This window comes from Homo sapiens, chromosome 5, assembly GCF_000001405.40.
Source record: "Homo sapiens chromosome 5, GRCh38.p14 Primary Assembly".
Lineage (NCBI taxonomy): Eukaryota > Metazoa > Chordata > Mammalia > Primates > Hominidae > Homo > Homo sapiens.
The window spans coordinates 7,613,268-7,636,630 of NC_000005.10; the positions used below are offsets into that span (position 1 = coordinate 7,613,268).

At 41.2% G+C, this 23,363-nt stretch overlaps 1 protein-coding gene across 5 annotated transcripts in view; it reads left to right on the plus strand.

Annotated features, from left to right (window-relative positions):
• Nucleotides 1-23,363, plus strand: part of ADCY2 (adenylate cyclase 2) — a 433,944-nt gene that overhangs the window by 217,130 nt on the left and 193,451 nt on the right. For all 5 annotated transcript variants that reach the window (NM_020546.3, XM_011513942.3, XM_047416645.1 and 2 more), the window contains exon 4: nt 12,900-13,049. In NM_020546.3, coding sequence (NP_065433.2) covers nt 12,900-13,049 — 150 coding nt within the window. The remainder of the gene's footprint in view (nt 1-12,899; nt 13,050-23,363) is intronic.

A 23,363-nucleotide genomic window follows, 5' to 3' on the forward strand; every position in this document is an offset into this window, starting at 1 on the left:
ACAAATAGCTCAACTACAGAAATGCAGGCTGATATGGTGTGTCCTATCACCGGAGCTTCTAGTATAGGGGCAGTTATCACCTAATGAATGACACCTCATGAAAGGAAGATATTCTGACACCAGCTGGTGGCACTAACCATCCCGCATTAGGGGAGACCCCAAAAGTTAAGGGCTCAGAATTCCACCAGGCTGTCCCTCAGATGCCAGCCATGATTGGCGGTGGGGGGTGGGGTCCCCAGGTCACCTGCATTTCTAACCAACTGACTACAAATTCCAATTTCCATGACCTCCCCTGGCACATCAGTGTGTTCATCAACCACTGAGCTTTGGTGTGCAAAGTTTTTCTTGGCGTTTCATCTCATAGGCGTGACTGACTGAATCATCATCTATGTGATTGAACTCACTTTCCAGCTCCCTTCCCCAGAGGTTAGGTTTATGCTATGTGGCTCAAAGCCTTGCTTCTCTAATCACACAATTGTTCGTGCAGATGACCAGCCATCCTGAGCCTCATCTTATCTTGTAGGATAAACTCAGGTATAATCCAAGAGGCTCACCAATAACAAAACCATTCCTATTACTCAGGATAGCCCAAGGATTTAATCTTCTTCCAAGAAATAAAAGACAAAAACCAGTCATATTATTTACTGTACAAAAGAATATGCCTCTTTGAAGAGCAGGCTTTACGTTAAAGTTATGTGTAGACAGAAGAGAACTCAAGGAGGTAACCCAGAGAGCACTGGGAGGACAGGCTTTGAAGAATTAATATAACTCTAAATTTGACCAGTTTGAGCAATCAATAATGCATCTTTAATTTACTTAATGTTATCCATAGTCATCAAACCTAATTCTAAGTTGACACAAGATGAGCTTCATGCATCTCATGAGTGTCAACAGAGACCCCAGATCACAATGAACAGAAAACAAAATTGTTTGAGTAAATTTGTGAAAGGGGGTTATGTTGAAATATCTCACATCCCATTTTTTTAAAGTTTGGTCAGCCCTCCTACGACTAAGAACCTCCATCTCTCTATCCCCTCTGAGTGGCCCATCTCTGCCTCTGTGTACATCTGCCCTGTCCTTCCTTTCCCCAAAACCAGCTTCTTGGTTCACCTTTCTGTCTGTATAAAATTTCATTACAGAATTCCCAAAATGGTAGCTTCAACTGCCAGTTTACATGGTCTTCATCTTGGTGCCCTCAACCTCTAAGACTCAAACCTAATTCCTGGAGACAGAATCTTATCAGCCCAAAAGTCCACCTTTGGTTTTGTTAGCTGTGATTTTGCACAAGGTTGAGGTATTGAACTTGGGGTGGGTGGTCCCTGTTTGCTGCTCCAGACCCATAGTCACTCTTCTCACCCTGCTGTCCTGTGGAAGTGAATGTGAAGCACTGTGTCACCAGCTCCTTTGCCCTCTGGCTTCAGGTTGGGTCAGGCAAGTGGGAGGCATGGCCAGGGGACTGCAGGGCAAGAGGAGAATGAGGTCAGGGATTGAGGCTGTAACAGCCCCTGTGCCAGGACACAGGTTTGCAGTGACTGCTTCCACCATCTCCTGTTGGGTAGCTGATTCCCCAGCAGTAACACCTTTCTCCAGGTTCTAGCAACATGTCCCTCCTTGTATTAGTCTGTTCTCTTGCATTGCTGTAAGGAACTACCTGAGACTGGGTAACTTATGAAGAAAACAGGTTTAATTGACTCGCCATTCTGCAGGCTCTACAGGAAGCATGGCCGAGGAGGCCTCAGGAAACTTGCAATCATGGCAGAAGGCAAAGGGGGAGCAGGCACATCTTCACATAGTGGAGCAGGAGAGAGAGAGAGAATGGGGAGGTGCTACACACTTGTAAACAGCCAGATCTCATGAGAACTCACTATCACAAGAACAGCAAGGGGGAAATCTGCCCCCATGGTCCAATCATCTCCCACCAGCCCCCTCCTTCAACACTGGGGACTACAATTCAACATGAGATTTGTGTGGGGACACAAATCCAGACCATATCACTCCCCTTGCCTCCTCAGATCCATATGTGGTAAGGAAACTTCTGTTGCTATCTCTGGGGCACTTCTGAATTCCTTGCTGGTTTTCCGGCCAATAATTTTTAACTGTCACTTCATGTGACTTATAGCTCTTTCTTGCAAGCCATCTTTTTCAAGTGAGAACTTGACCAAATCTGGACTCATGGGGTATGTTAGATGGCTGCTTCTTGTCTCAGAAGAAGAAAAATGAGCACAGAAAGGAAGTATCTGCTACTGTCTCAAAATTTTTGGAAGAGAATATAGATAGCAAGTTCATCATAGTTTTAATAACTATTTTATTTAATTAATTTGTATATTTATTTACTTCATCAAAACTTTAGTTCTTTGGTGACGTGGTTTCCAGACTGTGTTCCAAGGCACCCAGGGGCACTCCAGGATATTATAAAATTTCAAGGGAAATACAAAGATGCTCAGCAAACTACTCTTGAGATAGTTCATAGTTTCAACATTAGATCATGCAGCATTCCTTTGTTGACATCATGTCTTTGCAAAGCTGGGTTTTTGTTGTTGCTGTGAGCAAAAACCAGTACGATGCAGATATTAAGATGCAATGGGATATGTAGGTGGCAGTATTGAATCAGAATCCATGATCTGTAAAGTTATGCAACACTCAACAGACACATTGGCCACTGATCATCATTAGTATTTCACCATGATTATTTAAGAATGAAATAAAAATATTATATTTTATTTTCATATATGGTGGTGCTAGTGGTTTTTGCATCAAGTACTAAGTTGTTTGGGCATAATACTTAAGTTGCTATGACCTCACTAAGTAATAAACAAAACTCCTGGGAATTTCGTTTAGTCTAGTAACATGATAAAAAGATTAATGAGTATTATGAACCAGGAAAACTCAGGAACCTCTGCATTAGTGGTTTTATTTTTGCAATTAGTTTTATAATAATGTCAGAAGAAGTATAATAATGTCAGAAGGAGTATAATAATGTCAGAAGAAGTTTATCACCAGTCTTCCTTCAATCACAAGCATTTGTATGTTCTCATATAGAAAACTAATGATGATCCCAATGGCAGAAACTTCATAGCCATCACTCTGAGAACCTAGTGGCTGCAATTAAAATCTCACTTCTCCAGCTCATGAGAAGCCTGCCTTGTATCATTTAAATTGTTTGTTTGCTTTGTTGAGTTCTATTGTTGGCTTGTTTTATTGCATTTATTCTAATGACATTAATTACTTTAGGGGGAGAGTACAAAATTTAATTGATTAAAAATAAATGCTCAGCAAATGTTTTGTGGAATGACTAAAGGGTATTTAATGAATATCCCATCTTGGTGCACATTAAACCATCATGGGTAGTACATGGAATTTCTGCAAGAGTTACCAGCCCCAAATGTCTAAGGCTTGCCCATTTTGACATTCCAGTAGATTCTCTGGTGATGTGTAAATAAAATGTCTTTAAAACTTAATGTCATATTGTGATGGACTGAATTGTGTTCCCTCAAAATTCCTATGTTGAAGGCTAACCACCTCAGAATGTGACTGTATTTAAACAAAGGGCCTTTGAAGAGGTGGCTAAGGTAAAATGAGATCTTTAGGGTGGGCCCTAATGCAATCTGACTGGTGTCTCTATAAGAAGAGGAGATTAGGACACACAGAGACACCAGGGTTGTGTGCTCACAGAGAAGAGACCCTGTGAGGTCACTGAATTTTTGTCCCCTCTGAAACTCATGTTGAAGTTTAATTGCCATTGTAACACTATTAGGAAGTAGAACTTTTACAAAGTGATTAGGTCATGAGGGCTGTGACCTCATGGGTGTGATTAACACCGTTATAAAAGGGAGTTAATCCCTTTTTTTCCCATTGATCTTTTGTGTTCTGCCATGGGAGACAAAGCATTCCTCCCCTGCAGAGGCTGCCGTGTTCAAGGCTCCTTCCTGGAATGAGAACTGCCAACCCTGCCATCACCTTGATATTGGACTTTACAGCTTCCAGAACTGTGAGCTGATAAATTTCTGTTTTGTGTAAGTTACCCAGTCTGTGGTCTACTGCAGCATAAAATAGGCCAAGTCACAGCAAGAAGGCAGCCGTCTGCAAGCCAAGGAGAGAGGCCTCAATCAAACCTAACTACAACTTGGCCTTGGACTGTAGCCTTCAGAAATGTGAGGAAATAAATGTCTGCTATTTAAGCCACCCAGTCTGTGGTATTTTATTATTATTAGTAGTAGTAGTAGTAGTCATAATCATAGCATACTAATGCACATATTTAGCAAAGCCCACTCCTTTTGATTGTGGTCTTTGAATGCTATTGACTGGGAAAAGCAGCTGCAGTCTTGTCCACTTGGGAAAACATGAGATGTCACTTGGTGTTTGGGGCAAAAATAATACATGTTCTCTGACAAAAATTTACAAGAAGTCAGAGTATGGTGCCAATGAGTTTAAAAATTTGTCTTTTCATTCTTACAGAACATGGTTTTGAGGAAAACATACACCAGGAGAGGAAGGAAGGTGGTTGGGGTAAACCCAAGAGTACACTGTGGGGAGAGTGCTTTTGAGTACCTTTCAGCATTTGATTCTATCAAGGGAAGCAGTGGCCAGGCATGCTCTTTCCTAATGAATATGATTAATGAAACAACCAAAGTTTCGTTTGTAATAGAAAAGTTTTTGTTCTCCCCTTCCCAAATGGTTTCAGTGATGCATCCTTTTATAATTACATTATGACTTTATGCGGAATATTTTGGTCACACCAAAAAGGACATTCCAATTCAAAGTAGGCCTTGTGAATCACAGCACTCAGTATTTTTCTCCTTTATTTGGAGTCCATGACTGTTTCACAGGATTTTGCAAGCTGTCATTTCCTTACGGATGTGCTTACTAATATCATGTTTAAATCCCCAGGTGAGATTGGCCGTGGCATCCCTGAGTTGTTATTTCTATACCTCTGTGCAATCTTGTCTCTCCATTGTCTTCTTACGTTTGATGTCAATGTTTAGGCCCATATCCTTTCATCAGGTGTTTTCTGATTCAGTCATAATCAGCGGGGCACTCTGCACTTTTTATGTGTAATTCCAAATTGACCTTCTATTGTGTAGATTATAAATGGGGCTATAGGTAGGTCACAATGCCAGTTGAAAATGTGATAGCAATGCAACCTTCTCCTTGTACCCACAAAACACATTTTCTCCCTTCTTGTGTGCTATGGTAATAGAAGGGGAATACTCCACATGTTCACCCTAAAATGGAGTATTATTTTCTCCTAAACTAAGCTGCGTAAGTCAGACTCTCTAATAGCCTTGGTCATGCTTTTAAATAAAACTAAATACCTGTCAGCTTTTAAATTTTTAAATGAGTGGTTGTGGACCACATGTGTCACCTATTAAGTGGTGGTGAATGAAGAGAATTAGAAATGGTGTTTAAATGAAGCAAAACTTCATTGATTCAGATTAATTAGAGAGATGATCTGTCTAAATTAATGAAAAGTCTGAATTAGAGTGTGTTAAAATTTATTTTTTAAGCATTTAAGTCCACTGAAATCACCAGAACCAGGCAAAGTGTATATTGGTTGGTGCAGATCATTAGGAGAGCTGATTTAAGACTAGTAAAATTGTTGTTTTAATTGGTGTATAATTTTATGTTTCTAAGTTTTTGAAAAGCATTGAGATGCAGCACTTAAAAATGTGTCCTCCTGTTGTGTCATTACTTTGGGAGACAGGGTTTGGGAAGACACAGAGACCAGCATTTTTAGTAAGCCTCTTGGAAGATCCAGGACTATTCAGTAATTTGGGTTTCTGAAATACGCAGGTCAAACATCTTTGGAATAATGAACACTCATTCGACTATCTAAACTCAAAAAGACCAAAGAGATAATGACTTCTATAGGTATCAGTGGCGATGTAAAGTTTAGGTAATCATTGACTTGTTGCCTGACCAAATATCAGATGCAATTATCCAAACATCAGACTGGGTCACGAGACAGTGTTTCGGCTGTCTGGACAGAGACTAATGCTCACAAACATGCTTTGTAGTCTATAGGTGCTCTCGGAATTGGGCTTGAAGCTGTGTTGAGACAGAAGGTAGTAGGGAGAAGATCTGGTAGTGTTGCTTTGCAGAAATGGTCTGCAGAATAGGTCAAGGATGAAAAGGAAACATCTGCCCTATTTTGGATGCAAGCGAAGTGGAATATGAGTTTTGGTGGTAGTGATTCTCTCTGCTTTAACTTATCATAAAGGACTAAAAAATCTCCTGTGGAGAAATATAAAGCTCTGTGTAACTCTTTAAAGATATTCCATCATAGAAATTGATGACAGTGTTCTTTTTCCTTTTCCATTTTTATCTTTGTAACTTCCTCATACAGCTCACTTGTTTCATCTTCTCTTTTCCCATAGTGGAGAGAAGCTAAACCCTGAAGCTAAGATTGTTCTGTGTGCTTGAAGTCAAAGAGAGAATGAACAGAAGAGTAAACAGGGTGACAGTACCCTCCTCTGCAGAAAATAGGGAAGCCAAAATCTTCATGGCTTGTGTTGTTTTCTTCTATGGAGCCCTGAGTATTGGAAACTCCATGTTATTCCCTTTTCTCTGGTTCTAAACTATAATCAAGTGAATCTTCTCCCCATCGATTTCAAGTTTGCAGTCACTGAGCTGAGAAGTACAAGTTTGGATTTCTGCATGGTTAATTCAGCTTTCTCTTCTTGGAGGGAAACTGTGTTCTCAATGAATTAATTTGTAGGAGGAACTTTCTATAACGATCTGAGGATCTTCTAGGCTTATCTCTTCCTGTTGGCTTTTAAAGAGTTGCTGGAGCAGTTCTGAGAAGAGCAAAGAGCACTCCAAGCTGCCACACTCTAGTTATTAGCCAGACATGAGCCCTATCTAATTATAAGACCCTTTAGCCCTTCAGTCCAAATATATCTGGAAAAATAACATGATGCCTGCTATTCAAAAAGACTTAATAGCAACAGATGTGGTATAAAAAGAATAAAGAAAATAATAATCATGACCAACAGTACTATCTATTTTGTAATGGAAACTTCCATGGGAAATCAAATTGCATTTGACTCCCAATGTTTGGTTCCAGTCTTTTAGCCCAAAGCCCTAATAACATCCATTGTTGAGATTGTTGGTGTTTCAGTCTTCTTTATACCTTCCTGTCTCACTCCACTCCTCCTCATTTGGAGGGACTTCAAATTAGAAGATCCTAGCACATGACCTAAAGATCACTGGATGTCATTAACCAAAGCACAGTGTTCCTGATTGTCACTAAATGACTGATAAAGAGCAGAAACCCTGAGGCCACCGCACATAGCAAATTTAATTCTTAGAGGGCTGTGAAAAATGCTAAGGAGATGGGATTGGGATTCTCTGCAGCCATGTCTGAGAGATCAGTTAAGGAAAACTGTACCTGATTATTTTCTCCCCCAGGCAAGAGCATTGCTTTCTGTAAGCCAAATTGGATGCTTATGAGATGTGAGCTTACTGAATATTCATTCCCAGCTCTCTTCATCATGTCCTTGTCTTCCCTTTTATTTTCCTTTGACTTATAATTGGTGTTTTTGCATATTTATGATCTGCTTTGTTTTAAGCTGATGACCTGTATCAAATGCTATAACTTTTCTCCTTTGACACTGTGCAGTTAGTTCATAGAAAAAAAAAAAAACTGTCATTAAGTGATGGCATTTCCCTCATTACCAGGAGCCTGGCTTTGCCCTCAGCCTGCAGGGTGCTGCCTGGTGTCTGCTTGGGCCATTTTAGTTTGCCACCCCAACATGAGGTTAAGAATTAGAATAGTAAACTCTTTAAAATGCATAACATATCAAAGCCATAACAAGGGATCTGAGTGGTCACCTAACTCGTGATAATTTCTCAAATGTTTAAAGACAATGACCTGATACCCTTAAATGTTTTCTTCTCAGGTGAAATAATCCTCAGAGGGGTCACACTTGTGCCTCATGACCTGGATGAGAGCAGCCTGACCCTCCCCTCACTCTCCTCTAAACACGCACAGATGCATGAGCTGAACCAGTAAAGACTCCACAGGCGTATGGTCTCCAAGAACTTAACATAACTTTAAATGATGAAAGCACTTTACAGCATAAACACAAATGCTTTATAAAGAAAAAAATTAGTTTCTTAAAAAATAACATGTGTCTCTTTAGAAATTCCTCAAAAACACCTTCCCCATCCCCTAGAGGGGGTTGTGTGTGTGGTGGAGAAATCTGACTGTATGCGTATGAATAAGGGCTGTGTAGAATATACAGGGACAATCTGGAGAGCCTCTCCTGGCCTGGGGACAGCCCTCAGGTCACTTAATTGTTTGTACCTTTTGTTGCCTCGTCTATAAGATGAAATAATAAAACAAGTCCATTCTCCTGATTGCGCTGCTCTCTGTACTCTTAAATGTGAAAAGATGGAAGGTATATTTAGAAGGGCTATGGTGGTCATTATGAAAGGAGCAAAATAATAATAATTTGCTAGTAGATACCACCCTTCCCAGAAGTACAGGATTCATTAATTTGCATCCTCTGAGAAGCATGTGAAGTGTTGACAAATCACCCCACGTTTACATCAAGAGATGATGGGGTGCAGCATGGACAGCAAGCCTCTGTGAGGATATGTGGGCGTGTGGGCACGGTTCCACTTACACAGATTCCAGACCCCGCGCATACTCAATTTCAAGACCTGGTTTTAATCTTCAGGGTAAACCTTGACTGCTATTATTACCTTAAATAATTTATTTTCCTCCTAAGACATCTCTGGAGGCCAAGTTCCTCTCCTGTTTTCTGACAGATGTGAAAGTAGCTAAATGAAGCAAGAAGATAAAAGGAGACATCAAGATGGTATGATGTTATAAAACAAACTCAACATTGTGGAAATAGGATTGTTTGTCAGAGGTTCTGCTTAACAGTCTTCTGGAAAATAAAATGCTTTGATATTATTTTTGAAAAGAAAATTGTAACCTAATCACTTCCTTGCAGCCCTAGGTCTTGTATAAAGTCATTCCATGCATGCATCATTTTAAAATAAAAATTATTTAGGACATCAATTGTATTTGTAAATGTGTGTCATTATCAAAATGCCAAGGTCAATTCAATTAACCTTAGAATACAAGGATGAAACCGGGTATCAGGAACAGGCTTATAATTTGATAAGTTTTCCATCAGAAAAGACATATCATATTCTATTTGACATTAAAGCCCTACGTTGTATATTGCTTAAAAGTTTTCCTTTGAATATATAAATTAAAAATCAGTAAAGGCATTCTTTCCCATTATCTACAGACAGGAGGGGTTCAAATTACATTTGTTGGAAGCAATGCAGCATCCAGAATGAATGACTCCAAGAAGGTTTTTCCTTACCTGCTGTGGCAGTGCAAGTGTGCCAGTAGAATGTGGCAGTTGGAGAGCATTGGCTGGAAGACAGGCAGCAAGAAGTGCAAAGCCTCATTGCTCTCCAGGGGGCCTCCTCTTGCTTGGGATGAGCTTCTGTTGTCAAATGTTTGGAAACCTCTCAATGGACAAGAAACGTTGGCCTGGTCAGCTACACTGGCTCTGTGCACAGGGCCAGGCAGCACAGCGGGGAGCACCCTGAATTCAGTCTACTGTTAGGGTTCTGCCACAGAGGGGGCACTACCCTATACAGGCTGCCCCAGCGTGGGGGAAGAAAGGCCTATGGCAATAAAGGAAAGAGCCGTGACACTCAGGGCCAACTGTTCTGTTACAACAAGGCCCTCTGAGCCAAGAGAATTCAGAGGAAATAAGTGGGGAGTGGGATTCTAGGAAAACAGGACAAGGCAGCACTCACATTCCAGAGGATAGAGACTCATATTGGAGTGTCAGTGTCGGTATCAAAGTACCCCATTTCTATGCCCTGCAGAGGAAGCCCAGGGACAGATGATGGCTTCATTCAGTTCTGTTGCTTACACTTGGTTTTTATTTTGGAGAAATGTACTCCCTAAAATGTTGACGGGTTTGCTTCGAAGGCATTTTCTGAGGAGGAAGAGAAAAAGCTCTCATGAATAATCACTGAGTTGCTTTTATTATTATTTCAGCCACACCTAATAAGGAAGGAGTTAGTATTTTCTAACTCTGAGCAGCATGGTTTGCGTTGGCTTCTCTCATTTCCTGCATTCTTTGGTGCACTGTTCTTCAAAGCATATCCAGCAATGACAAGGTCTGAAGAATTTTTAGTAAAGCAGATGGCCATTTTGCGGAAGCAAAGTATGGCAGGACTTAATTGACAATGCACCATTGGACACGGTGCTGAAATCAACTCCTGTTCAGCTAGTGGAGGGTCCCCTCTAATCGGAAGCCAGGAAGGTCATCAGGGCTTTCCACATGCTCCAGGACTGACATTCCCAGAAAAGGTGATGCATCAAAGTATGGCAATAAGAAGGAAGAGAGCCCTGTGATGCTAGAAAATGTGTAGAAGTAATACTGAAGACTGCCACATTGCTCTGAAGTGCTGGGCTGCTGCACCTCCTTACACACAGACTGTGAGCACATAGGCCTTCCACACAGAGCACGTGTGTTACCTGCATATCACCTGCACACACATCACTCAAGCATGCATTTCACACACAGATTACACACAAGTTATATGCATGTATGCACACCACATGCATATACCACACACAGACCACACACACAGAGCAATTCCCAGCAAAGATTTTAATTATCCATACTAATGTGGAGGAGATAAAATATAGATGCATAACTGGACATTATGGGGGTTAGCTCTAAGAATGTGGGTGCGTTTTAGGAACTCTCTGGCCCCAAATCTCTGTGAAATGAGTGAGTTACATGGAACAGCCTTGAAGGCCCCTTCTAATCTGCATCATTCTGGACCCCACTTCTATTGTGCATTTGCATTTATTCAGAGAGAACCTCGTCACATCATTCTTTTAATTTCTAACTCTGTCCTCTTTTTTCTCTGTATCCCAAACATTTATTTTGTAGGACTTGAGGAGGCTAATAATTAATATCACTGTTTTCCTCCTGTGTTCAGAACCCTTTGAGAGATAGACCAAGGCATTGGGTAGATGGAGAACAAAATGTCACCTTATTACACTTACACCTATTTGGAGAGTACAGTTAGGAATAAATGATCTTGCTGATTATCCCCTGAGTTTACCCATCTTTCCCTACAGCCATCTGTCCCCAAATCAAGGTCTTTCCCAGCACAGGGGCAAGTGGCCCACTAGGTCCACTGCTTGGCTGAGAATGCAGGACATGGAGATGACCACCCACTTCAGGGAGGAAGACCCTGCTTATGGGGGAGGATGGGGTAAGATGCAGAGGGTTCATATCCTTTTCCCAAACCCTCAAGTTAGACCAATTTCTCCTGCTCTCCTTGGGAGGACTGTCCTCCCCCACCGCATAGAGAAGGAGGACAGCTATGATTCTCTGTTCAGTCCTGTCACAAGGAACCTTGAAGATTTAGAAATAAAATTCCCATAATGGGTTCCAGCCACTCCTGCTCACCACGTTGGATGATTAATGTGATAAAGTGGTCTGTGTTTTGGGGAGATTCTTAGGGAGGAGCATAGGATATTCGGAACTGATGCCACTGACTTGTTATTAAAGCCACTAGTGACCTGTCTTGGTGGGAATACAAGTCATGTGGAAATGGAGGGTAGGGTGGGTTTTAACCAGATGTGTCTATCCACTCACAGGTAGACCTGTAGGTCTTGCCATGAACACACAAGAGCTTGCTCTATGTAAATAGTGGGTTACACTAAAAAGACCATTGTCATACACTGTTGATGATAATGTAAATTGAACATTTCCTGAGAGCAATTTTGCAATACATATCAATAACTTAAAAATACTTCTGGCTTTTCAGTAATTTTGTCTGAGGAAATGATCAAATATGAAGCCAAAGCTTTATACATGTGGTTGACCACTATAGCATAATGCAATGCACAGAATATTAATAAGTATTGAACAATATGGACATATCTAAAGGATGATACAGTCACAGAACTGAATATTATCTAAGAATTTAAAATGTTGTTTCTACAGAACTTACATGAGCTAAAAAATATTTTATTAAATGTTAAAGCAAAGCACAAAACTACATTCAGAATGAACTGAAGCTTCTTGGAACAAGATAGAGGTCTTGACAAAGTAAAGTATGCCACCAATTTTGAGAATACAGAGGAAAATGGAGTAGGCAGACAAGGCCGTATGGAAAGCAGAGTGTTCTGCTTGGGCAGGACAATTATAGATTATTTTTAGTTTGTCTTTATATCTTTGTTTTTCTCCCAAATTATATGAACATGAATTGTTTTTATCATGAAAAGAATAATGAGTTATATGTTTTGAAAGACTACCATATTTCTACATAAACAAAAGATAATAGGTGAATGTCACTTATCCAGGCTCAGCAAATACAGTTTTGGTGTGAGGGCAGTTTGTATCACAATAATGCTGCATAACAACCATGAAATCTCAGAGGTACACAATAATAGACTGCAGGTTGACTAGGGCAGCTCTGCTCCATGTGTCTCTCATCCTGGGACTGGTGGGCTACCCGGAAGTGTTCTTTTCCTAATGAGGTGCAAGAGAGTGACCTGAAAAACAAAAGGTCTCCTAATCCTGGGCTGGATCTAGCTCGTGATTATTTCTGTCCACATTGCATTAGCCAAAGCAAAGCAGATCTCATGGCTAAGCCCAAAGTCAAGGGAGGGACTGCAAAGTCATCTACCAAAGGGCATGGATCCAAGAAAAGGGCAGAACTCTTCTGGAGATTGATGTTTTCTGTTAAGCAAATAAAAATGTTACTTTGGAAACAGAAGTAAAATTAACTTCCTGCAGTTATCTCTCTGAAGACTGTTGCTAATGTGCACTTTGTTTTGATTGTATTCACAAGTGAGAAACAGTTACCCTATTGAGCAGCTCTTTCTGTCTCTTTAGATCCTGGCCAATGTGATCATTTTCATCTGTGGGAACCTGGCGGGAGCCTACCATAAGCACCTCATGGAACTCGCTCTTCAGCAAACATATCAGGACACCTGTAATTGCATCAAGTCGCGGATCAAGTTGGAATTTGAAAAACGTCAACAGGTAATGGATGTTTCATCTTACATCCACATTATTTTAGTCATTATTAAAATGATGCTGTTACTATTAATGTTGAGTGTCGTTCATTCATTCATGAGCTTCAGAAAAATCAGAGAAGAAACCCTGGGCTCTGCACCTGGGGAGTGTCTTAGTCTGCTTAGTGCTGCTATAAAGGAATACCTGAGGTTGGGTAATTTACCAAGAAAAGAGGTTTATTAGTCTCATGGTTCTACAGGCTGCACAAGAAGCCTGTGCCATGTCTACTTCTCGTGAATGCCTTTAACTGCCTCCACTCATGGATAATGGGTAATGTGCAGGGATCACTTAGCGAGAGAGGAAGCAAGAGAGAGGCAGGGAAGGAGGGGCAGTGCCAGGCTCTTTTGAACAACCAACTCTCATGGGAACAATAGAGTGAGAAACTCCCTCAAACTCCCTTCCCAGGGAGGGCATTTATGTGTCCATGAGGGATCCACCCCCAAGACACAAACACCTCCCACCAGGCCTCACCTCCAACACTGGGGATCAAATTTCAACATGAGATTTGGAGAGGACAAGCATCTAAACTGTAATAGAGAGTTATGATCAAAAGAGCAAAGATTGCATCTTCCCCATGCAGCCTTCAGACCAAGGGACCCAGGATCACCCACAGCCAGATACGCCAACCATCATCAACAAGTGGCTGGGGAAGTCAAATAAGAACAGTTCGTGAAAATGCTCACTTCTGGTTAGTGTTTATGACAAGCATTTGCACCAGCAGAAGTACGAGCCTCCCCCTCATCGCCCCCTCACCGTGCTGTGCCATCACAGCACTTCCTACAGCGCCTGTTGTCCACATAGGATGAAATGTTGGAGTCTTCCTCAGGGAGGTGATTGAAGAGTCTGGGGAGGAGCCAGGTGTCGTTGTCAGGGGCATCCTAGGTTGATTGTTGTGGGTGACACAAATGCACATCAGGGAAATGTATAGACTGCAAGGAAGCATTACAGAAAACAAACAATGGAGACAATAGGAGATGTGTGGGGACCAAGATATCACCAAGGATGGTGGAAAGCAGGCACAACAGATGTACATGGAGAAGAAGCCATAGAGGGGCCCTGGATTTGCTGTGCTTCACTCCGGGTGATGGCAGATATCCATGTGAACAGCTGTGTGTTCCTGGGTTTGTGTATTTCTCACTGAGAATCCAGTCTGTAAAGCTAATAATTAGCATGGCTGGCTATAAACACTGTGCTCCCCCTCCCTGTGGGCCTTCATCACATTACCTAAGCTCTTAGCAGTGTTTGGCATATCATGGATCCTTAATTATTGTTTGTGAAGTTGTATTGAGTTAGTTCACTCTATAAAATTTCATCAAAGTGTATTGTGGTAGGAGCAAAAAGTATATCCTTTAAATTTTGGCACTAGTCCTTTGTCTATGTGTGGACTGCTGAATGGTAATCATTCTTTTTTGAAAACAGGGATCCAGGATATTAGTTCATTCATTCAACAAATATTTAGTGAACACCAAGGCTGTGGCAGGCATGGCTCTAGGCACTGGGATATAACTGTAAACACTGCCTTTGCATTGGTATGATTAGAAAATATGGTTTGTTTTTAAAAAATACATTTTGTCTTACCACCTATATAGCAAAGGTATTCAGGAACCGATGTTTTTGTTTGTTTGTTTGTTCTAGATGTGTGTCAAATTCTGAATTCAAAATTAAGAGACATAGATAGTTGTTAACTTGGGACTATTATCCAGTTTATTCTTATGTACCTATTTTCAGTAACGTTTTACATCTGTGTTCTAGAAAATTCCACAGTTTGGACAAGGAGCCCTTAGCACTCATGGGTGGTCCTGCTGTAGTGCATGCTACAGGGTTCAAATGTTTTGGGAGAGATGGTTTCCTTTCTCAAGCAGTACAGACTGGAGCAAGTTGGGCCCGACAGACATGTTTAACTTTTTTTTCATCAGCTCTGTAATCTCCTTCAAAATAGCACTAAAGCTACAGAGAACAGAAATTCCAAGTAGATGGATTACATAACCTAATATTTTTAGGAACAGCTTTGATAAAAGCAGTTTCAGGTCACTGACCTCACCTGCACATCATATTTCTCTGAAGAGAACTGAGCAGCTGAAAGCACATGGCATCCCTTGCCACAGTGAGCTGAGGGTAAGAGGAGCCACATTGACCTTGTGGAGCTCAAGAACTGAACCATCATGGGAGACATTAGAAAGACATGCATCTACTAGTTTCAGAAAAGAAGTCAGTGATTCTTTTAAAAATAAAGAAAGTGAGAAGGGACACTTTAAAGAAATAAGAACTGATATTAAATATGTTTAATATAATACAACTTCACATCACAAGAGCATTTTGTCACAAGCGTTGGAAGTCCATTTCCAGAGTCTACTCCTAGAATGCAGTACCTTTCTTGTTAGGGCTTCGGAGAATATGTGTCTACGATGAGATGTGTTTGTACTTTTCTCAGACCAGCATGTAATTAAATGGGAAGAAGAGATTATCTTGGTTTAAAAAAAAAAAAAAACCATCAGTAAGATATAATCTGATAGATTTAAGGAAACTAGTAAAAACTGGCCAGTGGCAATCTGTGTGACCTTCATAGAAGGGAGAGGCCCCTGAAACACTGAGGCCCAGTAGGGCCACTGATCAAATTCAGGTTTGGGTTCCTTGTGTCACTTCCTGCTCACCCTGCACCACAAACCACCTTTCGCTTCATCCACAGTCACTGTGGCAAACAGTAATGTCCTTCAAAGTTCTTCATTCCGGAAGGATATGTGTTGACCAGCCAGAAAACAGTTTCAGTCATTGTTTAGATAAATAAATAGCATCCAATTTAATGTACACGTTAGCAGCTGCGTCAGAGAGAGCTGGTGCTCCCAGAGGTTGAGAGGCGGCCACCTTGGGAGTTCCTTGGCCTCGCTTCACAGCCCCACTCTCTGCTGTCCTTCCTCCTTGGAGAGGATACAGTGGCGGGTTAGCCCAGGAAGCCGTCCCTCTTCACCCAGGATTGGAGGGGGGGCACTGAAACTATTGGGACCTGTCTAACGATTCTGAAATCTTTTCAAAATTGCAAAACTCCATGCTGTCTTTTCTTCAGATTTTGTGATATTTTTCAGATGCAAGTGAGATGAATTTCTAAAGATTAAAGCCCATGCTTGAATAAAGTGGCCATTTGTACTATAAGATTTTGAGGGAAGAAGGAATGAAAAATGTTGCTAGAGATTTTCTCAGAGTTGTGTTCTTGCCCTAAAAATGTTCTCATTATGAACAATAAAAATCATGACTTTTTACAAGGTAGGGAAAAGAATGCATTGCATTGGAATTGAGGCCGCCTTTAGAAACAGAAGGTATTCACCTGTCTCGAGTTTTGACTTTTGTCTTAAGTTTCATATCCCACAGTAAAATCCGCAGCTGTTTCCTGAGCACCGTGTAGTGTGGCAGATGGCTCTTATCAGACCTGAGAAAACATATTTCAGTGAGTGTTGCTCTCTGGGGTATGTAATAGGCTCTCAGGAATTAATGAGAGCTGGATTCACAGCAAAATAAGAACACTGTTTGCTAACTGCCTAGGCAGTTGAAATAAATGCTGTTTCCGTAGGAGTAAAAGCCAGGTTTGCTATTTCATAGAGGGAGAATAAACCCTCTTTAATTTATATATTGTCTTTGTTTTAGAATAATTTAACAAATTTTTATGTGATTTACTTAATCTGAACCATCCTGTGGATCAAATATGACAGAACATTCCTTTTAGTAAAAAATACTAGTCGGGCGAGGCTCAGAGACCCCATGCTATACCTGGATTCTGCAACTCTCTGTGGGGATTCTGGCTTTCTGGCTGTAGTCTTTCTGGCTGTAGTCTTTCTGGCTGTCCTTGGATGCAAAATTGTTTTCCTCTCTGCAGAATTTAGTGGAACAAGAAAGTGATCCTTGGGTGGTCATGGCTGGGTAGATAATGACAAATTTACCTGTTTTTAATCCTAATGTGATAGCAGGTATTATAACGGCTTTATTGAATGCATTTTATGGCTCATTTGTTTTGCAAGGTGAAGAGTTTTTGAAGTTTTTCTAGATTTGGGCTGCTAAAATTTGGAAAAGCAAACAGAAGCAAGTACTATTTCTTTAAGTTTTTATAATGTCCTGGGTACTTTATGTAGTACTTTATGTGTACTGTTGTATCAGACTCCTATTGCTGCTGTAACAAATTTCCACAAATTTGATGGCTTAAAACAGAACAGATTTTTTATCTTACAGTTTCAGAGGTTACAAGTCCAAAATCAGTCTCACTGAGCTAAAGTCAAGATATTAGCAGGGCTGTTTTTTTCTGGAGATTTTGAAGGGAGAATTCATTTCCTGGCCTTTTCAAGCTTCCGAAGGCTGCTTGCATTCTTTGGCTCCTAGATCCTAGACCCTTTCCACCATATGTAAAGTCATGAGGGTAGAATCTTTCAATTGCTTTCTCTCTCTCTCTCCTTGTCTTTTTTTTTTTTTTTTGAGATGCAGTCTGGCTCTGTCACCCAGGCTGGAGTGCAGTGTCATGATCTCGGCTCACTGCAACCTCTGCCCCCTGGGGCTCAACAGATCCTCCCACCTCAGTCTCCCAAGTAGGAGGGACTACAGGTGTCCACCACCACACCTGGCTAACTTTTGTTATTTATTGTATTTTGTATTTGTTTTGCCATGTTGCCCAGGCTGGTCTTGCACTCCTGATCTCAAGCAATCCACCCACCTTGGCTTCCCAAAGTGCTGGGATTACAGGCATGAGCCACTGAGCCCGGCCTGTCTCTGACTTTTGATTCTGCTGTTGCATCTTCTTCCTTTTCTCTGACTCCAACCCTCCTGCTTTACTCTTATGGCTTCTGTAATTACACTGGACTAACCGGGCTAATCCAAGATAAACTCACCATCTCAAGATCTTTAATTTAATCACATCCACAAAATCCCTGGTTTGCCATGTAACCTAACATAGTCCCAGATTCCAAGGATTAAGATGGAGATACTTTTGTGGGACCGTTAGTCAGCCTACCACTCTCCGTCTTCTTTATTCCTACAGCAACTCTAGGACCTAAGTCGTTTTTCCCATTTAAACCGAATAAAGAAACTGCTCACATTACTTGGCCCCAGATCACTCAGTGAGTAAGTGTAACTTCCAGGGCCCTTCTGTCTTTCAAGTTGGTTTTGCATGGGTTTTCTGGTCTGATCTCTGGGAATGTTAACTGGAGATTTTCCAGGACGTGAAGGACTCTCTGATGGAAGTCCTAAAAAGAGTAGGAACAACTTTGAGCAACTTTAAGCATCCAAAATGGTATCCTGCTAAGAAGGCAGTCAGTAGCTGTTCTTCCATTGAATTCTCATGCACTAACATGAAGCAACAGAAATCAGCTGCCATCTTACTCCCTCCATGACCATGCTGAGGCATGGGGAGGGTTTGATGCCAGCCATGCCATCCCCAAAGATCCCTCCAGGGTCAGCTTTCTTCTTCCTGGAGGCAAGAAGATTGAACAGAGGAGTCTGCAGCTTTGTCTGCTTGGACATGTGGTGGTGAGTTATTCAAAACAGTCTTTTACCAACCCCATCTCTGCATGTTCAGTTTACCTTTTGCCAATGAAACGGACCTTACGAGGACTCATCAATGACAAGACTAATTGTTTTACCCAATTGTCTTCACCTGAGTTGTTACATGGACTTGAGGTGAGGCATCTCAACAGTTATGTACCTTTTCATAAAGCCAAGCTGGACATTAATAGTGTGAGAGGAATTCAAGCCAGTGAGACTTTCTCACTGCAGTTGCTGAAGAATTAAAGCAGCACATTTTAATATAAATGTCACGCCTGAGCTTTGAGGTGCAGGGCTGGGGGATGCGCCCAACAGAGAGAGCCTAACAGGAGAAACACACATCGTGCGGCAGGTACAGTTTGGCTCAGATATAAAGGCCTTGCCTGGGTTCTGACATCTCAGACCATTAATTAAACTCTTCCACGCCCCCTGCTTATGTTTTTGAGATCTCCACTTTTCATCTTTTATTAAATCATTAGTTGTGTCATTTTTTTCTTTGGTATCTCCTCCTTGGTAAAGAGGCCATAACTTCCATCCATCTTGGTCATCACATTTTTTTCATTCTGTAAATGATTAGTATATACTTTTCTCTTTGGCATCTCTTCCCCAGTGCAGAGGGCATAGCTTAAGCCAGTGTTGGTTATTGCTTTTATCTCAACTCTCATTGGTGTAACATTAAATGATGTGGAAGACTACACATACACTTTACTTGAAAACTGAAAAAAAAATGAAGAGCTGAGATGTTATAAAAGGTTCTCATCACAGTGTTTGCTATTCCAATCCATCGGAATGATCTTTAAGAAATATTTTCACAGTTTGCACCACACTGTATTATACTGGTTACTTAAATTCTCATGAAGCTCAGATGTCATGCCTCATTGAGAAGTTCCAGGACAAGATGTTTCAGGATGCTACAATTTTGCCATGATGTTTATGGATGCTTTTAAATGAGAAACGAAAATTAACTCCAGAAAATTGTCAATAATCCTTAAATCAAGTCTGCAGTATTTTCTGAGAAGTCCTTTAGTTAGAATGGTTGAGATCACCACAAATTTGCGAAGATTGCAATGAAGATTGTGCTATGACTGTGCAATCAACCTCCTTTAAGGAGGAGTCAACAGTTACAGATCCAAGATCCAGGGGGAGGATGAAGGAACTCTCAGGAATCACTGTCCAGTATTGATGCCTAACAAAGAATATAAATGCAGGCCATTATAGGGGTTTACAAAAGCCACATTAGCAACTATTTGTTCATTCTTAAAAAAAAAAAAATGGACATTTTGGCAGGGCGCGGTGGCTCATGCCTGTAATCCCAGCACTTTGGGAGGCCGAGGCGGGCGGATCACCTGAGGTCAGGAGTTTGAGACCAGCCTGGCCAACATGGTAAAACCCTGTCTCTACTAAAAATACAAAAATTAGCTGGGTGTGGTGGTGGGCACCTGGAATCCCAGCTACTCTACTCGGGAGGCTAAGGCAGGAGAATTGCTTGAACCCGGGAGGCAGAGGTTGCAGTGAGCCAAGATCACAGCACTGCACTCCAGCCTGGGCAACAGAGCAAGACTCCATCTCAAAAAAAAGAAAAAGAAAAAATATAGACATTTTGCTTTAAAGGAAAAAATAAAAATAAAAAAGAATTATAGCAATTAATTAAGCAGAGATTCTTTTAATGGTTAAATATATGCAGGTGTCTATTTACATCATGGCAGTAGAAAAGCCAAATGATAAAATTAAACCTTCTAGAAGTTTTCTCTGTGTAAGAAACTTGAGCAAGACCTCCTGCTCATGTCCACAGTGAAGAAGCAACTCACCTGTCTTGTTGAAGAAACACCTGGAAACAGTTATATTACTCCAGATTATCACAAGCAGATTTTTGTTGATAATAAGAAGCCCCCAAAACCAGAAGTCATGTACTAAGGAGAGGACCTGATTTTGATGTTTCTGAGAGCCCTAGAATTTTCAATATTTCCTGGGGACTGCCTATTTTTAATACTCTGTGATATGGTACTTTGATGCTGGTAAGAATGTTTAATAGGCAAAGAATAATCTAGTTAAAAGATTCAAGACAATTTGACATCATTTGATACCAGTAAAATAAACCCAATAAAAAGCAATTCTAAAATGAGCCCTTTTGTTTCATTAAACATTCTTGTGATATTTGTCACATATAGAAACAAAACTCAAGTCTTCTGTGATTGCCATCATATTTTTCTTCCTGCAAATGTAATCACAGATAGGCCACTATGCCTTTTAATGGGGGGGAAAGGCATTTTGAACTTACTTTCATGGGGCTGACTTCAAAATGTTAAAGTTACTGATCATGCATATTTAATAGTATATTACCATGAGCACAGTTGCAGATACATATACCTCCTATGGCACTAGTGATGTGTTTACTGAACCGAGGTATCCATTTATATCTGTAACAAATTGAAGGTTAGGACTCATGAACTTTAGGGTTTTGTAAATTGCATATGTGTTTTCAAATGGTATTATTTTTGGAGATTATACTTTTAGGGTTATCTGAGTGCTGTCAAGATTTTATTTTATCCTAGAACTTCTGTAGAAAAGTCCTTTAATGTACTTACGGATGATGGGCCATTTAATATATGTGTGTTACTGGATGTGACAATTCCCCCCAAAGACTAACGTTGTCATAAATGTGGACTATATGATGCACTCAGAATGCAATGCAAGAGGCATGTGAGATAATGATACTCACATAAACACATTCATACCCTTTTCAAATTGCATAGTATTTTTACATATATTCTTCTGTTAAATACAGGATTATACAAGATGCAGAAAAGCCCTCTTGTCCTATTTATCAAATTTACAGGTTTTTTTTTTTTTGGCTTGTTAGGTGCTGGCAATTTTCCCAGGTTGGGGAATGCAGAGGTAGCCAAGACTAGAGGTCCCTGTTCTCTTTGCGCTTAAATTCTAATAGCAGGTGATAGACTGTAACTTATCAAATCCATAATTTCATGAGAAGATATAACAAGATAATGTGACAAAGCATGGTGGCTGGAGAAGACCAAGAGGCCTATTGGAGGGGCCAGGCAGGGAGGCTTCTCTGGGGATGTGATATCTAGGTTGAAATATGAATTGCTGAAGGTCTCAGACCTAGGAGGGCCTGAGAAAAATGTTCCCAGCAAAAGAAGTGGGAACTACCAAGGTCCTGAGTCAGGAGCCAGGTGGCCTGTTTGAGAAACATAGGGGTCAGTGGGACAGTTGCGGGGAGAGAGGCAGGAGCCAGACTACACGCTGGGCCTTGCAAGGTGGGTCAAGGACTTGGGATGTTATACTGAGTGGGAAGTCACTGAAGGGTTTTGAGTAAGATAGCAACGTAAACTGATTAACAGTCTTAGAGGATCCTTCTAGCTCCTAGTAGAGGATGGGTTGGAGAAGGGATGAGTGTTAGTAGGTGACTCCTTGGAAGCCATGGCATACTATGGCAGCAGTACAGGCTGGATACAGGAATAGCTTGGGTGAGAGTGGACAGATTTAGGACATATTTTAAAATTGATTTAGTATGGGTTACTTTTGGATTAGCTGCTGAGTGAAATAAAAATAAAATAATGAAGAGAACTTTCTGGGGTTTGAGCTTGAGCAACTGGATGATGGTTGGTGTGGCATCTAACATTTCAACATCTTGGTCACTTTATTTATTGGGAGGTAAGGTACAGTAGAAATCCAGATTTGAGTTTTTAACAGCTAATTTCAAGATGCCAAGCAGCAGCTGTAAATAAGATCTGGAGTTAAAGATGTGAACTTGAAAGTCATCAGCATATAGTTCCTATTTCAAGCTACAGGACCAGATGAGATGCCCCAAGGAGAGAGTGGGATTAGAAAAGATAAAAAGGGTCCAGGACCAAACCTCAAAGCACACTAACATTTGAGCAGGAATAGAGGAAGATGAAGAAGCCCAAGTCACTGAGAAAAATCAACCAGTTATATAGATGATTTGTTTTTTCCTAATTTAGTCTTGAGTTCCCTCTCATGATAGTGGCTGTAAACTCTAGCCCTGCCCTGACGGGGATCCTGGGGATGTGGTTGTGGGTTTTTCCCATGTGCCTTTCATGGGATCCTTCTTTGACCTCACAGACAGCCTGATACCTAAGTGTTTAGCCTGTGGCCAGGTGTCCCTCTCACGGGAAGCTTGTTTATCCTGGCACATGCCCTTGTGGCTCTCATCTGACCTGTGTCTAGTTTATTCCTACCAAGGCAGCCACTCTCCCAGAGAGCCCTGACCAGGACAGAAGTTAGGATGGGGTAGAAGAGGCAACTCATCAGAACCCATGAAATAACAGAAGCAGTTTATTGTTTACAGATCTGGAGAAGAGAGGGCGCAGCACCATTTGCAGGGCCAGCAAAAAGCAGGGAGCCATCCAGGACACACAGGCTCAACCAGCAGGTGCAGAATGAGAGAGAGAGGGAGCTGTGGGCCAAAGCCTTCGCTGGGGTTCAGGACATTGTGCAATCAGGTTTCTAATCGGTGGGTTTAGAACAAGCAGGCACATGCCCTATGGCATCATGCTGTGACTGAGAGAAGGTCAGTGTGGGTGGGATACCTGTGCAGTCTATGCAGGGTGTGGGGATTAGTAGGGTGTATCCAGCTGTCCTACAGGGAGGTGGTTACCAGAAGGCAGTATACAAGGCAGATGTCTTGATTGACCACCTTGAGAAACTGCAAGGAGGTAGGGGGGATGGAAACTGTGTCAAACATGATTAGGCTTTGCATGAGTAAGACCAATCTAAATTTAAAAT